General features: G+C 42.3%; 1 protein-coding gene across 20 annotated transcripts in view, besides 6 other annotated features; it reads left to right on the forward strand.

Annotated features, from left to right (window-relative positions):
* MGAT5 (alpha-1,6-mannosylglycoprotein 6-beta-N-acetylglucosaminyltransferase) overlaps positions 1-15602 on the forward strand; it is a 334687-nt gene that overhangs the window by 117852 nt on the left and 201233 nt on the right. For 7 of the 20 annotated variants that reach the window (XM_047444395.1, XM_047444401.1, XM_017004147.3 and 4 more), the window contains one exon: positions 15309-15432. The exons of 9 other annotated variants lie outside the window; for them this stretch is intronic. The gene's annotated coding sequence lies outside the window, so the exon portion shown is untranslated. Of the gene's footprint in view, positions 1-11462; positions 12590-15308; positions 15433-15602 lie in introns of those variants that run through there. 4 more of the 20 variants (XM_006712534.4, XM_011511199.3, XM_047444394.1 and 1 more) reach the window with 4 other exon arrangements.
* Positions 6877-7377: an enhancer, noted in NCBI's record as "H3K4me1 hESC enhancer chr2:135002234-135002734 (GRCh37/hg19 assembly coordinates)". NCBI's record gives its function as "activates a minimal SCP1, AML or CMV promoter by ChIP-STARR-seq in naive H9 embryonic stem cells {active_cell/tissue: H9 hESC(naive)}" and the evidence as "EXISTENCE:reporter gene assay evidence [ECO:0000049][PMID:30033119]".
* Positions 7378-7878: an enhancer, noted in NCBI's record as "H3K4me1 hESC enhancer chr2:135002735-135003235 (GRCh37/hg19 assembly coordinates)". NCBI's record gives its function as "activates a minimal SCP1, AML or CMV promoter by ChIP-STARR-seq in naive H9 embryonic stem cells {active_cell/tissue: H9 hESC(naive)}" and the evidence as "EXISTENCE:reporter gene assay evidence [ECO:0000049][PMID:30033119]".
* Positions 10264-10313: an enhancer, noted in NCBI's record as "active region_16548". NCBI's record gives its function as "activates an Ori minimal core promoter by ATAC-STARR-seq in GM12878 lymphoblastoid cells {active_cell/tissue: GM12878}" and the evidence as "EXISTENCE:reporter gene assay evidence [ECO:0000049][PMID:35858748]".
* Positions 10374-10463: an enhancer, noted in NCBI's record as "active region_16549". NCBI's record gives its function as "activates an Ori minimal core promoter by ATAC-STARR-seq in GM12878 lymphoblastoid cells {active_cell/tissue: GM12878}" and the evidence as "EXISTENCE:reporter gene assay evidence [ECO:0000049][PMID:35858748]".
* Positions 13122-13181: an enhancer, noted in NCBI's record as "active region_16550". NCBI's record gives its function as "activates an Ori minimal core promoter by ATAC-STARR-seq in GM12878 lymphoblastoid cells {active_cell/tissue: GM12878}" and the evidence as "EXISTENCE:reporter gene assay evidence [ECO:0000049][PMID:35858748]".
* Positions 13342-13431: an enhancer, noted in NCBI's record as "active region_16551". NCBI's record gives its function as "activates an Ori minimal core promoter by ATAC-STARR-seq in GM12878 lymphoblastoid cells {active_cell/tissue: GM12878}" and the evidence as "EXISTENCE:reporter gene assay evidence [ECO:0000049][PMID:35858748]".

Consider the following 15602-nt stretch of genomic DNA (forward strand, 5'->3'; position numbering starts at 1 on the left):
GTCACTCAGGTTGGAGTGCAGTGGTGCGATCTTGGCTCACCGCAGCCTCTGCCTCCTGGGTTCAAGCAATTCTCCTGCCTCAGCCTCCTGAGTAGCTGGGATTACAGACGTGTGCTACCACGCTCAGCTAATTTTTGTATTTTTAGTAGAGATGGTGTTTCACCATGTTGGCCAGGCTGATCTCCAACTCCTGACCTTGTGATCCGCCCACCTTGACCTCCCAAAGTGCTGGGATTACAGGCGTGAGCCACTGCGCCCGGCCTCCTTTTTTTCTTTTTCTAGACTTGTTCCATTTATTCATTTCATAAGTTTGGAGACCTTCTAAGCGTGAAGCTCTCTGAGAGGTACTGAGGCACTAGAGAACACTGATTAAAGAGCCTGATGCCCAGTCTACAACAGCTGTACTACCTGGTAGCTGTGTGACATTGAACAGATTGCTTAGTTCTTTGTGCCTCAATTTTCCCTACTCTGAATGGAGATGGTTAGTACATACTTCACAGGCTTAGAGTAAGCATTGGAAGAGAGAAAGTCTGTTAAGGATCACGGTCCATAATTGTTAGATTTTCTTATAGTGGTAATTAAGATCATCTTACCTTCATAGAGCATAAAGTTAGGTGGAAACATAAAGGAGAGGTTCAGAGGAGAAGCAATGTGATAGCAAATGACACATGTGGCCTTTGACCTTATCTGTGCTTTCCCCATCTCATCATGTCTTGTTTATGTATCCTTGTCAGGAGTTCAGCTATAAGACTTTTCTGGGATCATCCCACAAATCTGTATTACATCCTGTTTAGGAAAGATGTGGTGTCATTGTGCGATGCTTCCACGCAGTTCTGAGATATATAAGGCTGTTGCCCTGATGAAATATGGCCCTAGGCCAAGCGTGGTGGCTCACTCCTATAATCCCAGCACTTTGGGAGGCTGAGATGGGCAGATCAGCTGAGGTCAGGAGTTCAAGACCAGCCTGGCCAACATGGTGAAACCCTGTCTGTACTAAAAATACAAAATTAGCCAGGCATGGTGGTGCATGCCTGTAATCCCAGCTACTGGGGAGGCTGAGGTGGGAGAATCGCTGGAACCCAGGAGGTGGAGGTTGCGGTGAGCCGAGATCATGCCACTACTGTATTCCAGCCTGGGCGACAAGAGTGAAACTCTGTCTCAAAAACAAACAACAACAAAAAAAGAAATATTGCCCTAAACGTGTTTTATTTATTTATTTATTTTTGTTTTGAGACAGAGTCTTGCTCTGTCACCCAGGCTGGAGTGCAGTGGCGCCATCTCACCTCACTGCAACGTCTGACTCTCAGCTTCAAGCAATTCTCCTGCCTCAGCCTCCCGAGTAGCTGGGACTACAGGCACATGCCACCACACCTGGCTAATTTTTTGTATTTTTCGTAGAGGCAGGGGTTCACCGTGTTAGCCAGGATGGTCTCGATCTCCTGACCTCATGATCCACCCACCTCAGCCTCCCAAAGTGCTGGGATTACAGGCGTGAGCCACCACGCCCAGCCCTGTTCTTTTCTGCTCTATATATCTTGGGGTTTCCCCCTCAGTATTATCAATTACTTTTTGGGGCTGTCACCTTTGTTGGGGAGCTCCCTCATTCTTCTTAAATTCCTAATCTGATTACTACTAGAATAGAACCAAAGGTTACCAGAGAAACCAAATAACCAGACTTGTTAAATCAATAACCTTGATTTATGCAAATCACTTAATAGTCTGAGCTGTCTTGAGGAAAGACTGTTGACATCCTTCTTACCTACCCTCTGACTCCCTCTTCCACTTCTAATGACCCTGTGATGACATTGAGCCCGCCTGGGTAGTCTAGACTCTTTTTCCCCTTTTAAGGTCAGCTGATTAACCTTAATTCCATCTAATACCTTGATTTCCCTTTGCCATGTATGTCCTGGGGATGAGGATGTGGATGGATCTAGGGGGGCCGGTATTCTGCCTACCATAGCTATCTTGCTCTTTTTGTTTATAATTATGATATGTTCCAAAAAGGAGTAAAACGTAATACAAGAAGATAAAAATACATTTACCATTAAGTAAGAAAAAAGACAAGGAGAAGAGAATAAGAAAATGAGTCAGGAGTGGGATTTATACAAAAAATTAGTGAGTCCACTTTACTTCCTGGAAGTGGATGGTGAGCTTTTCTTGCCAGCCTTCTTGAAGAGGGAAGCACTGTCAGTTATGTTGTAGTGTGTCGATCTAGTAAAATCCAACTGGTTGTTCAGATACCTAGATGAATATTCTTGATATGAAGATGAAAAAAAAATTTCTTCCAAAGTCTTCATGGATACATAAAGTGTATAATGAGCAAAACCTTTGACATGTTTACAGTAAACCCAATGGTGTGTTTCACCTGGCCTTTCTCTTCTTTTGTTTACTGCTTTATATTTAAGGTCAAATACTCATTCTTTGAAGATCTCTTGTAAGACATGTGGTCCAGGGTCAGGCCAGGCCAAATGTGGGAATTTGGAACAGCTGGAGCAGTGATTCCCATCTGGTGGCTCTCATCCCCTAGGGATTTTTGAGGGTGCCCTGAGCTTTCATTCTAAAATGAAAGTGTTTTTTTTTTTTTTTACTATTTGTATGTTTGAAGGACATAAAGTATGTATTTACGTATATAATCTCTGATCTCCCCTTAAGACGGAAGAGTGAAAGCCTACCAGTATTTATTAAGAGCTTGGATATGGTGGTTAGTTGTAGTCGGAAGAGTGATCTGCACTAGCAGTCTGTGAGGTTTTGGACCATTATATGTTACATTATAATAAAAAAAATTTATGTTCTTAATGGAGTGTTGTTTAAAGACAGGATGCATTAGGAAAAGTTAAATTGAAGTATAAATTATTGAGGAGTATATGAGAATTCTGTTGATTTTCCTCATGCTATTTTCCCTGTAGTCAAAAGTTGCATTCATCTGAAATCTTTTGGCATATCTGATAGTATTTTTTAAAAAATCAATATTTAGAAATAGAAAATATTATGACTGTTATAGTCATTTTGTCTTTTAATTTATTAGGACTAAAGATTCATACACCTGCAGTGTGTTATTTGTGGAGAAATGCTTTCAAATAGCTGCTGGAAAACCATCTGTCTTAGCCTGATATTTAGAAACACAACTGGAAAAAATATATAAAAATAAACTTTCAAGGTATTGGAGATGGCAGTTAATCACAACCTTCCTCCCTTCTGGATTCTGAACTAGAGGAAACAGAAGAAGCTAGACAAAAATTAAAATACAGTACCAGTTTTATTAGTGTAAAGTGAAGTTGGGAGATGTGTTTTGGATGTAAGACTTCCTTATCCACCCTAAATGTAATCTTCATAGCCACCCAGGTGATGGCTGAGCATCTGTGGGTGGGCTCTGCCCATATAACCCGTGGGAGCAGGAACAGAGAGTGTGTCCAGCAGCCTGTTCAAGCTGAAATCCTGTCCTTCCCGCTCTGGGAGAACTGTGAGTACCCCAAAGAAGGAGCAGACATAATTCCCCACTATGGTTTCTTCCTGGGAAATGGGGTGAACATTCTGCCGGAAAACATGTTCAAAGGAAGCAATGAGTTCTCTTATAAACTCTTTGATTTGTTTTGAAGTCCAGATGTAAGAAATGCAAACATGGGACATTTTGTCTAATTGGGGGTTGTAAGTAGATTGCTCTCTGTTTTGAATATGCATTTGGTCCCCACACCAAATATGTACTAACAAGTATATAAATTCAGAATGAATTTTATTGACAAATTATACTTTTTTACCGACATAATTAAGTTAAATGCTGTGTATTACAGGTTAAATGGGCAAATGGTAATTTGCCATTAATCATTTGGAACATTAGCAAAGATAGTATCAAAATGAACTTCATAAACTTTCAATACCTTGTTTCAGAAATGGATTATGACTTTAATATCCTATCTTTCTCATATATATGTAAACACTGAGAAATGACTGAAAAGTTCCTAAGGGGTGGGAGTGTGAGTGTGTATGAGTGAGAGAGATCATATATTACTGTTAAAAGCCTCACAGGTCATACATAAGAGGTTGGGCAAAGCCGACCTAGAGCAATGGATGGATTGTGTATCCCTTAAGTCATCATTCAGATACAATTTCTTTCAACCAAACTTTGAAAGACTTTCAGGGGCTATGAAGTCACTGAAGTACCCTGGAAAATATCGGAATTAGAATCATTTCCAGAAACTTTTAACTATTGGTTGAAATACTCTTATGCAGAATGAAGGGACCTAATGAGCATGCTTATCTCAGTTGAAGGCTATTTCACTTTGAAGTCAACTGGGAAAGTACTTGTGATTGCAAAGCACTTGTTCTAAAGAGAGCACTTTGGATTATAAAACAACAAAAACTCAAACCCCCATGATGTTGAACTTTGAGCAGTGCAAGGTGTGTGTTGGGTAGCTGCATAAGGCGCTTTGCTGTGTGGAATTACTGCTTTATCAGAGTTAGATGTTTGGAAAACATGTATCCAAACTGTGTCTTCATTTTTAACCTGATGGATCAAAATGTTTGCTTTTTGTCAGCAACTAGAAAGTAGGACCAGTTGTCCTATAAGGACTCCTAGTTCACAGTGATTAAACTATGCCATTTATGTATATAATGCTCATCTCAGCTGGATATGTGTCAGTAGGATGTACATCCAGCTTATTCAAAAGTAATATAAGTTCTGTACGTGTTATGAAAAGGAGAATTGTGCCATGTTCTCTGTTATCCTCCACTGGAAATTAGGATCTGATCTGCCCCTGCTCTTACTATCCTAGATAAGGTAAAAAGCAGTGCTTCTCATGTGAAAACAAGTAACCTTGCAGTCTGGTTATAAACACCAATTGATTCTATTGTTTTGGGATTGGGCCTAAGATTCTGCATTTTTAACAACCTGCCAGATCATTTCAGTGCTACCTTTCCACAGATGAGAGTTCGAGTAGCAATGTTATAGAGGTGCTAGTTGCTAAAAGCATTGTAGACATCGAGGCTTTTGGGCTAGCCTCAAATCATTTCTCATCTTTGGAGCCAAATGCCCAGGAGAGGTTAATAAAAGCTGTATTAGTTCAGCATTATTCTCTACAAGTCCTTCCATAGTGTGGGATGATCTAACAAGGCTCTGTGGTAGACTAGCTATTGAAAGTCTGGCTACTCAGGCAGGGCATTGGCCTAAGACCAGTTTGTGATTCCTTTAAGGAGAAAACAAGCCTACCTTGGCAGATGAATTATCTAGTAAGCCAGTGACTCTACATTTGTGGGGTGGGAGAAGAGCAGAGAGCTTACCTCTTAAAATTCTAGAATGGATCACATTTTGGGTTTCACTAGATAGGGCCAATAGAGTTGTTATAGAATGTCTTTTAAATGTTCTCATGCCTGGCTGTGTATTAAAATCATCTAAGCAGCTTAAAATAAAAATACCTCTGCTTGGGCCACACCTGAGACAAAGTAAATCAAAATCTTTGGGTGTGATAGCTGGGCATCTCTATTTTTTAAAGAGCAGTCCAGGTGATTCTATGTACATCATAGTTGGGAGGTCCTGGTTTAGTCAGTCCTAAGCTCTGAGGGCAAGAAACTCTCCTGAGAAGCTCCATTTTTAACTTGAGCTGGTTTATCATTTGTGCAAACTGAGGGTTTGTGACCAGAAACCAGTCAGGCTGACCCAAGTTATTTGCAGTGTTTGGGAGAGTTGACCTTGGTGTATACATTAAGGAACTAGTGAACTTATCAGCCAGCATCTAACCAATGATTTCTTCCCTAAGAAAATTCAGACCTTGACTTTTATGACTCTGGGTCTGTTAAAGCTTAGGGCTGTGCGATTGAGTGGCTTGACTACTGTAACTTTATTTTAGAAGTGATGAGAACTTCTTTATAAGGTTAAGTTGGATAAGCCTGAGTGGTCACTTCAGATTGTGCATGTGTGTGCACACATATGTATTTCTTCACTGCTTAGCTAGTTCATTTTTTTAACCAAATCAGATTTGGGGAGGACTGTCCCTTTTCTGCAAATAGGGCAGCTGGAACACTCCTGGGGTAGGCCAGTACCCAGCCGGTGCTCCTCCCGAGGTGGAGGAGAGGGGTACTAGGGGTCGGGGTAATTGGGCTGGAGGGCTTAGGAAGCATTTGGAAATAATGAGCTTTATCTTGAAGGCATTACCCATATTTTTGAAATAAGTGTGGTGATTTTTGTGATTGTGATTTTCTTTATTACTGGGGCCATTTTGGCCTGTTGTCATTCTTGGTTTTTTTTCTAGATGTAGAGTGTTGCCAGAAGTCTGATCCTCAGAGAAAAGGTGCATTTTACACTTATTATAAAATTTCTTTGTGGCTTTACTGTCCTTTGAGAGTGGAAGCAAATCTTTTGAGTATTTTCATTCAACATTAAGGAGACCTACCTGACAAATTGACATGCTGTGTGATCTTTTCACAGATGATTCTTTCTTTCTTCTTAGAGAGTCATTATCAACCTATCTTAAAGCCTGTTCATGGTTTCCTGGGCCGGATGCCAGGTGACAATCCTAGCGTTTTTTGTTTTTTTTTTTAATGGCTGTCTGATGAAGCATCATCCAGATTTGGTCTTGCTCAAAGCCTTCTTCCCTGTGCTCATTGATTTATGGACCAGGTCTTTGGAGCAGAGGCCCAGTGCCTTAATACTCATTAGTAAATTGGGCACAGCTAGCCTAGGAATGAGATTCTCAGTCAGTGCCCAGACAGCACTGAGAGATGTGGAGAAAATGAGACTCATTTATCAGTCACCTTGAGACAGCATCAGCAGTCGGCCACCTTCCTTCACTCTGAGGCCTTCCACAGCCTCAGCACAGGCTTCTGAGCCTGCTGGTCTTGAGGGGTGGTGATGGACTCCCAGGTTCACCTTGGTCTGCTTCTCTCTCACTCTGCATTCTAGTTACATGGGCAGAACCTGTCTGAGCATCTTCCAGTGGGTGAGTAAGATCCTGTTGATTGGTAAGGCAGTCCCTCTCAACCGAGGCAGTTTTGGCAGTGTTGAGAGACATTTTTCGATTGTCACAACCCTCTAGTTATAGAGGGTTATTGGAGGGCTCTAATGGCATCTAGTGGCTAGAGGCCAGCAATGCTGTTAAACCTCTAATAGCTTCCCACAACAAAAAAATTATTCAGACCCATATGTCAGTTGTGCAAAGATTGAGAAACATTGGATTAAAGTGATTTATTTCATTTTTCAGGGACCCGTGCTTTGTTTTGGTTTAGTAGTTGTTTTCAGAATTATTATTATTTTTGAGGCAGCGTCTTGCTCTGTCGCCTAGGCTGGAGTGCAGTGGCGCGATCTCGGCTCACTGCAAGCTCCGTCTCCCGGGTTCACGCCATTCTCCTGCCTCAGCCTCCCGAGTAGCTGGGACTGCAGGCGCCTGCCACCACGCCCGGCTAATTTTTTGTATTTTTAGGAGAGACGGGGTTTCACCGTGTTAGCCAGGATGGTCTCGACCTCCCAACCTCGTGATCCGCCCCCTCGGCCTCCCAAAGTGCGGATTACAGGCGTGAGCCACAGCGCCCAGCCCCTCAGAATTCTTGGAGTTACCGCTGTTGCCTTTTTTTGTTGTTAGGAAATTCTCTCAACTGTGAATATCGTATGGGCCTAGTGAATGAAACTCATAGAACATGTGAAGATCTTATCTGCTCCAGCAACCACAGCTTCCTTCTCACTCTTGTCCTCTTTCCCTTTTGTCCACCTGCCAGTAATGTGCACATCCAAGAGACTAAGTCAGGATAAAATCATCAAATGTTGGTTTTCTCTTACCCCACCCACGCCCTCTAGTGGCCTGTTTTGCCTCTAAAGCTGCTTTGCCTGTCCCTTCCTCCTCTGCTTCTCCTTTTAACACCAACTGTATTTAGGTGAAGACTACCCCCATCTCCTTTCCATCTGTCTTCTTTATACCTGTGAATGTCAGAGAACAGCTGGGGTAGGTGTGGCAGAACCTGGGAATAGAGAGGGCAGGAAGAAGAGTGCATGTTCTGGACCCAGATTCACCAGCCCTGTTACAGTGTTTGGAAATTTATTTTGCTATTGATGCCAGATATGGAGCCCTGAACTCCACTGAGTGGATGGTATAACTGCAAGACAAATATGCACTTCAGGTGGGTGGCATTGGAGGTTTTCCTTTCTCTGCCCACAGGAAAAATGCAAGTGTAGTGTAATGAATTAAAACTCTGGGTACAGGACTGTCTTGCTTTGATCACTTCAAATGTAAGAGGGGATGGGCTGTTTAAAACCCAGATATTCAAAGAGTATTCCCAAGATAGCAAAGGTGTGTTGTTTTTAGCAGGTGTATTTCAGCTAGTTAATTAAAATAAGACTAGTTTAGCCACTTCCAAAGGGAACAGACTGTTTTCATTTAGAATGTGTTTTTCCTGTTTATAAAAAAAAAAAAAAAAAAAAGGACCCAGGTCCTGAAAGTGAAAGGTCTCTGTTCATACCTATTTCTTGGGCAGCACCCTGCCTGCTCCTGAGCTCCTTTGCTTCCTAGAGCTAGAAGAGAGTTGGTGGCATCACAGCTGTCAGGGATTCACAGTTGAGCTTTTGGGCACCTGCTGAGTGGGCTCTATCAGGTTGGTGGCACTGGGCCATCTGGGGGAGTGAATGACCTCAGAGCTTCTTCCCAGGAATTTGGATTTATTTTAGAAGAGAAAGCTGCTTTGCCTGTCCCTTCTCCTCCTCTGCTTCTCCTTTTAACACCAACTGTATTTAGATGAAGACTGCCCCCCACCACCGTCCCCGTTCCATCTGTCTTTCTTACACCAGTAATCCTGTAAATGTGTATTTTTCTCCCTTTCATGTGTTGATTCAACCCTTGAGGTTGGTGGGACATTGCATTAGACTCACGGCTTCTTAATAGTACTGGACTTTGGTTTCTGTTTTGTGTTCCATACGGAGAGGTCTCTTCCTTTCTGAGTTTCCGCATGCAGCTGGTAGACTCAGCTTGGTTTGGCGGAGGCCATGTAGTATTAGGCAGGAATTGGGGTGCTGGTTTGATTCTAACTGGAAAACATAATATTTTCTGGCCTCAGGGTCTTCCTCTGTAAATTGAGGGTTTGCATTTGATATTTTCCTAAGCAAAACCAGACGTTGTCTTCCAGTCTGTAAAAAGGTATTTTATACATTTTAATTTATCATATTTCCTGTTAAAGTTGATTGTTAGACCAGGGAGATGTGGTTCTGTGGTGAGCACAAAACCAGGAGTTTGGTAAGAGGTTGTGCAGTCAATGCAAGGTTAGCACCCAGTTGATTTCTGCACTGTGTTTTGGTTCACGGTAGAAGCAGTCCATATTCATCCAATTATGAATGGGAGTGGCTATCATTTTAAAGAATAACTTACCAAGCACTCTAAGTTGCTTTTAATGTAAATTGAGATGGAGGCTGAAAAGAGAAGTAGTAGAAATTGTTTCAAAGTTGAATTATTAACATCTAAAGACAGTTGTCACTTAAAATATGGGAGTCAGGCAAGCAGCCTTGGAACTTCAAGATATGTGACCAACTCTCATCTGGCATTTAATTAGGGTAGTGCTTTTTTGTCATACAATTTCATGTGAATAGATACCTGGGCCTGAATTAAAAAAAAAAAAAAACAAAAAAAAAACGTAAACTAGACCACTACTGAGCATTAGTTTTGTGACCAATAAGGTGGAAATTTGAAGTTCAAACTTCAGTGTATGGAGGTAGCCAGGGCAGTTTTGCTGAGTCTCTGCGATATAAATTGATACGTATATTGATTGTCTCTAGTATCTTAGGATTTGGCATGTCAAACTTTTTTTGAAAAATGTTTAAAAACATCTTAAACAAAACCAAAAGTCAAATGAAACATTTGTGGAACCTCTGGAACATCTCTGTGAATGAATCTTTGATGTTCTTTGGAGCACAGTTTGAGAACCAATAACTCAGTTGCTCACCCCTACTCCTGTGGCTCTAACAGTGTTCTGTGTTTCTAGAACTTTCTCCATGTTATACATGTGGAAACTGAGATGGACACACTTAGGATCACACAATGCCAATGGTAGAACAAGCTGCAGATCAGAGATTTTCAGGTTTTTGATGCAAGGTTCTCTCAGTTCCTCCTTGTCACCCTTTCAGGTCTTATTTTCTGTGATCTTCTCAGCATAACAGTGACAATACAAGTGGCCTCCAAGAAAGGTTCCCGGGTATTTTCCCCTCCATCCCTTGTCTTAGACATATTTTGTTTCTGTAATCTCACTGCCCTGCCCCCCTAGAATTTTCTTCTGGAGTGTTTTTTTGCAGTTTTCTTCTCTGTTAATACCTGACTACCATCACATCCACTTTAGTTTAACCCTGCCTCTTCAAGGGTTTTACTACTAAGGGTAAAATCTTGTAAAAGGTAAGGTGCAAATGTATTGTCAGAATGCCCAGGTTCTGTGGCTCATACCAGAAGGAGGTCTTGGAGGTCTTTGCTAATTTGCATTTCTTCACCTCATTTCCACCATCCTGTCCTTCCATCTAGCAAATACTTAATGACCACCCTCTGTGTGCAAGGCATGGCCATTGCCGGCATTTCTTGTCTTTGGGGGCCTCACAGACCCCATAGGCGAGATGAAACGGGATTGTCCTATAGAGCAAGGAAGGAGCACGAACTGCTATGAGTTACGAGTACTCTATGGAAGGGGAGCTTTCCTCAGTCTAGGGAGCCCCTGGAGGCTTTATGCAGGAAGGAGGTGGGGTGAGATTGGAGGCTGGAGATGTGGGTGGGATTTTCCAAGGAAATTGGGTGGACACAGTGACTTAGGATTTCTTGAAGGTTACTGTACAGGATGAAGCTAAATGTAGGCTCCTTAGCCACCATTTAATGATGACTATGAAGTAGCTCAGGTGGTACACAGTGAGGACAGAGAGGTCTGGGAACCACTAAGTTAGAGCAGCGCTGTCCTATGTGAATGTGTGAATGTGGCGCATGGGATGGTATTGTCCTGCAGGGCTATTTGAAGAGACCAAATCTCTGCTTGGGGCTGGCATTGCTTCTGAAGGGATGGGCATTTCTGCCTTTGTTTATCCTCTGAGGAGGCAGGCCCTTGTGTCAGAAATAGGGCCTCCAGGGATGTTGGATGGCCACCTGGAGGAACTGCTTCATTGGTCTCGTTCTCACTCCATTGGAACTGGGCTGCTGCTCAGTGTTCTCAGGTGGGTTGAGAAATTGGCATTTGCCAGACAAGGTGGGCCAGGAGCCTTCTGAAGCCAGGCTCCTGGCCAGGAGCCTGTAAGGTTGATCCAGAGGTTATAAGAGCGGTCATATGTGGTGAACTGGAAGTAGATCACTGTGGTTTCCTTCTGTTGCTAGGCCCATGGCCAGCCCTTAGTTCCTGCCCTGGTCTTGGCTGTGCTAGGCCCATGACACTCATCTGCCTGCTCTAAGCCAAACTCCTCCTTTTCCCCATAGCTTTAGAGGTGGGCTTGCTTTCTTTTTTCTTTTTTTTTTTTAACAGTTTTTTTTTTGAGATATGATACACATATCATACCATCCTCCTATTTAAACGTATACAACTCCATGGCTTTTGGTATGTCCACAGAATTATGCTCCTATCACCACAATTTTAGAACCTTTTTGTTACCCCCTAGAAAAACCCTATACACCTTAGCTATCACCTCTCATTTCCTCCATTCTCCATACCCCAGCCCTAAGCAAGTACTAATGTATTTTCTGCCTTTACAGATTTGCCTATTCTAGACATTTAATATCAATGGAATCATGCAATATGTGTTTTTTTGTTACTTTTTTTGCTTAGTATAATGTTCTTAAGAGTCATCTATGTGTAGCATAATCAGTTCATTCCTTTTTATAGCCAGATAATATTTAATTGCATGGATATGGCAGTTTTGTTTCCATTTCCTCAGTTGATGCACATTAGGCTGGTTTTACTTTTGTTTATTATGGATAATGCTGCTGAGTATGGATACTGCTGCTGAGTACTTCTGTGTACAAGTTTTTGTGTAGACACGTATTTTCATTTCTCTTGGGAGAGTTCCTAGAAGCAGAATTGTTTGGATCATACAGTAACTCCATGTTTAACTATTTGAGGTACTGCCAGATTATTTCCCACACTGGCTGCGCCATTTGATATTCCCACCAGTGGTAGATGAGGGTTCCAATTTCTCCACATCTTCACCAACACTTGTTCTTATCTGTATGTCCTTATGAGTGTGAAGTTAGTATCTCATTGTGGTTTTGATTTGCATTTCCTCTAATGACTAATGATGTTGAGCATCTTTTCATGTGCTTTTTTTTTCTTTCTTTCAGGAGAATTGACACATTTCTTTGCCAGAGATCTCTAACCATCTTTATAAAGGTTGAAGATGATTTTGTTGTGTTGAGGCGTCAGTGGGAAGGAACAAGGTGATTGCTACTCTTTTAGAAAGTAGGAGGATAGAGGGGATGCATATTGAGGTGGCTAATTCTGCAAACAGACTTGGTGCAAACTTTTTTCTGGAAGTGAATTGATGAAGTCACGGCCATGAGCTGACATTACTCTGGTTGGCAACAAGGTCTTCTGAGATCCACTGTATAGTCCCACTGTGCCCATTGGATGACTTAGCTAGAGGACACAGCCGTTAGAAGGTCTGGAGGTAGGCATCTTCTTAGCTCCAGCAACAACTTCTTGATCACTGTTAGTCTAGGGCTTCCTCATTAATTGTCTGGTCATTCCTGATGATCTTCATTGTCATTTTGTGGCACCAAGACTATGAGGATGGCTGTTCATTTTCCTCCTCATTGTCCACCTGTTACTGTGAGAGATAGGGGTGTCTCCTGAATAATGCTTTTGAAAAGTCTTAAGTTCTGTCATCTTAATAGGAATTGTAGAGATGCATTCTGTGATTCTCTGTGTGTGCTGTGTGTATACTGATATTGTTTCTATTATTTCAAGCTCTAAGTACCACTGGAGAAGAGAAGTTTCCTGGCACTTCTATAGTCACTTAAAATCTGGGCCCTCACTAATCAGAACTGTACTCTGAACTCCGCATAGCTAGGGATTTTCACTTCAAATTTGCATGTCTCTGAACTGGGATAATTTTACCTAGGCTGAGATTTTTTGGCCATCTCTTTGCGCCTCTGATACACCATCTGGATGTGTCTGACCTTCTCCAAGGCAAGGGCAGAGAAGAAGCCTTCTACCTTCTAAGGAAGCTATTGTTCAGTTCCTAGCCCTTGATCTTTCCTTTGTTTTAACTCCATAGCTTGAGCAGCCTATTCAGTAGGGTTAATTGAGGAAGTAGAGTGGGGTTTCCTGTCTGAAAGTGGACAGCTAATTCCTACCAGTGATTCGGGCTCTTTACTAAAATAGTGAAAGAAAAATCACCTTTTTTGATGTAGCACCTCATTGGCTTGCTCTAGGAAAATTCCTTCAGCCCTGGTTCAAAATTAAGTAATGAGTAATGAGTATGGGTTATCAAAAAAAAAAAAAGCCAATTCCCTTGGAGCTAGGTGCAGCACCTAGTTCGTAATGTGGCTGTCAGAGTGTAATTCTGATGGGGTGGAAACTCCATCTTGTTCACTGTTCAGTCACCAGGGCCTGATGGCCGCTCATGCTCAATATAGACTTGGCGCGGAGCGGAGTGGAGGAAGGAAAGAGGGCAGGTGCTAGTTGGCTGGCCTGCAGTTAGAAGGGCTGAATAAAGTGCTGTAGTGCCCTAGGCGACATATTCATTTAGCAGATACTTTATTGTGCCACTGTGGTCAGTGCCTTTCTCTGAGAAGGTGTGTGTGTGGGGAGGGGCTCCCTAAAGGATGTCATAGAGTCCCACATAGAAACTTTGAACAATCCAAGGTAGACAGGTGTTTTTAACTCATAATACTCCTTTATTCCCTGTTTTAAAAATTTTTTTAAATTTGATACAATAATTATACATAATAATGGAGTACCATGTGAGATTCAATCCACATATACATTGTGAAATGATCAAATTAGGATAGTTAGCATGCACATCACCCCCAAATAATTATTACTTTTGTGGTGAGAACACTTAAAATTGTCTCTTTTAGAAATATACGTTATTATTAACCATAGTCACCTTGCTGTGCAATAGAACACCAGAACTTATTCCTCCTAAATGTAACTTTTTACCCATTGACCACTCCCTCCTCATCCCCCTCTCTCCTCCCCACCCCTGGTAACCACTGTTCTGTTATCTCCTATGATAGCAACTTTTTAGCTTCTGCATGTGAGATTGTACGGTAGTTGCCTTTCTGTGCCTGGATTATTTCATTTAGCATAATGTCCTTCGGGTATATCCCTGTTGCTGCAAAAGACAGGATTTCTCTCTCTTTTTCTGGTTGAATAGTATTCCATTGTCAGAGAAGTGTTGTAAGACTAGGAAAGGAACACTGCAGGCTGGAGCCCTGGGGAAAGTGGTCTGAGGCAGGTGGTGGGACTAGAGCTGGGGTCTGGCAAACAGGCTGGGTTTGATTGTCAGCATAATAGAGAGCACTCATGTGCCAGCTGGGTGGGAGGAGCAGCCGAGTGAAGAAGGGGAAGCCTCTCAGGAAGCATGTGCAGGGTTTATGGTAATGAGCAGACCAGCAGGTACGTAGTGGGAGAGGGGTGTGATGGGGCAGAGGAACTTACGTTATGATAGTACAAGACAGAGGTTGAGCCTCATTTTAATAGGCATTGTGGTGGGTGTTGAATAGTGATGGAATGTATGGGTCTGGAATCAGGCTGCCTGGTCAAGGGCTCTGAAACATGAGTGTGCATCAGAATCACCTCGAGGCTTGTTAAAGGATAGGCTGTGGACCACATCTCCTCAGTTGCTGATTCAGTGGGTGTGGGTGGGGCCTGAGAATTCACATTTCTCACTGGTGATGCTGCTGTTACTGAGTTTGGGACCACATTTGGAGAACCACTGGTCTAGAATTGAGAGGTTGGCAAACCTTCTCTGTTAAGAGGTAGATAGTAAATATTTTAGGCCTTCTGGGCTACAAAGAGTATCTGTTACATATTTTTTATTGCTTTTCATGACCCATTAAGCATATATATATCATTCTCTGCCATATACAAACAGGCTGTTGGGGGAGTGAGGATGATGTAGGGAAGGTGGGGCATGGTTTAATAACCCCTGGGCCATGCCTAGATGATCAGTCCTCTGCCACATAGCTGGCTGACCTTTGCCAAGTTAATCACCTTTTACCTTTATTTTCTCATGTTTCTAATAAAACAGAGACGATAATATTCATACTTCTTACCATATAGAACTTCTGAGGATTCAGTGAGCAAAGCCACAAAAGATGGTATGTCACAATATCTGGGATATAGCTAGAATTTATAATTTATTTTTACTCTGTTGATAGGCAATGGGAAAACAGTAAGAGGCAGACCAACAGTGATCCAGGGCTCTGAAAGCTAATTGCTTCAAGATCCTGCTACCATTTTCTTTTGGGCCGCTTGCAAAGAAGAATCCTTTGACTGAAGCATGTATGTACACTCTGAAGTACAGCCTGGGTTAGTCTCTTATAAGGGATCGGATCATTGCTCAGCCTCTCCCTTGAGTGGCACTTAGAAAATGGCGCTATTCGTAAGCTGACTGGTATTGGGCCCAGGACTCTGGCTGAAGGGGTGGGCATGCTGGTAACCATTTGCAACCT

This window comes from Homo sapiens, chromosome 2 (assembly GCF_000001405.40).
Source record: "Homo sapiens chromosome 2, GRCh38.p14 Primary Assembly".
In the NCBI taxonomy this organism is placed as follows: Eukaryota; Metazoa; Chordata; class Mammalia; order Primates; family Hominidae; genus Homo; species Homo sapiens.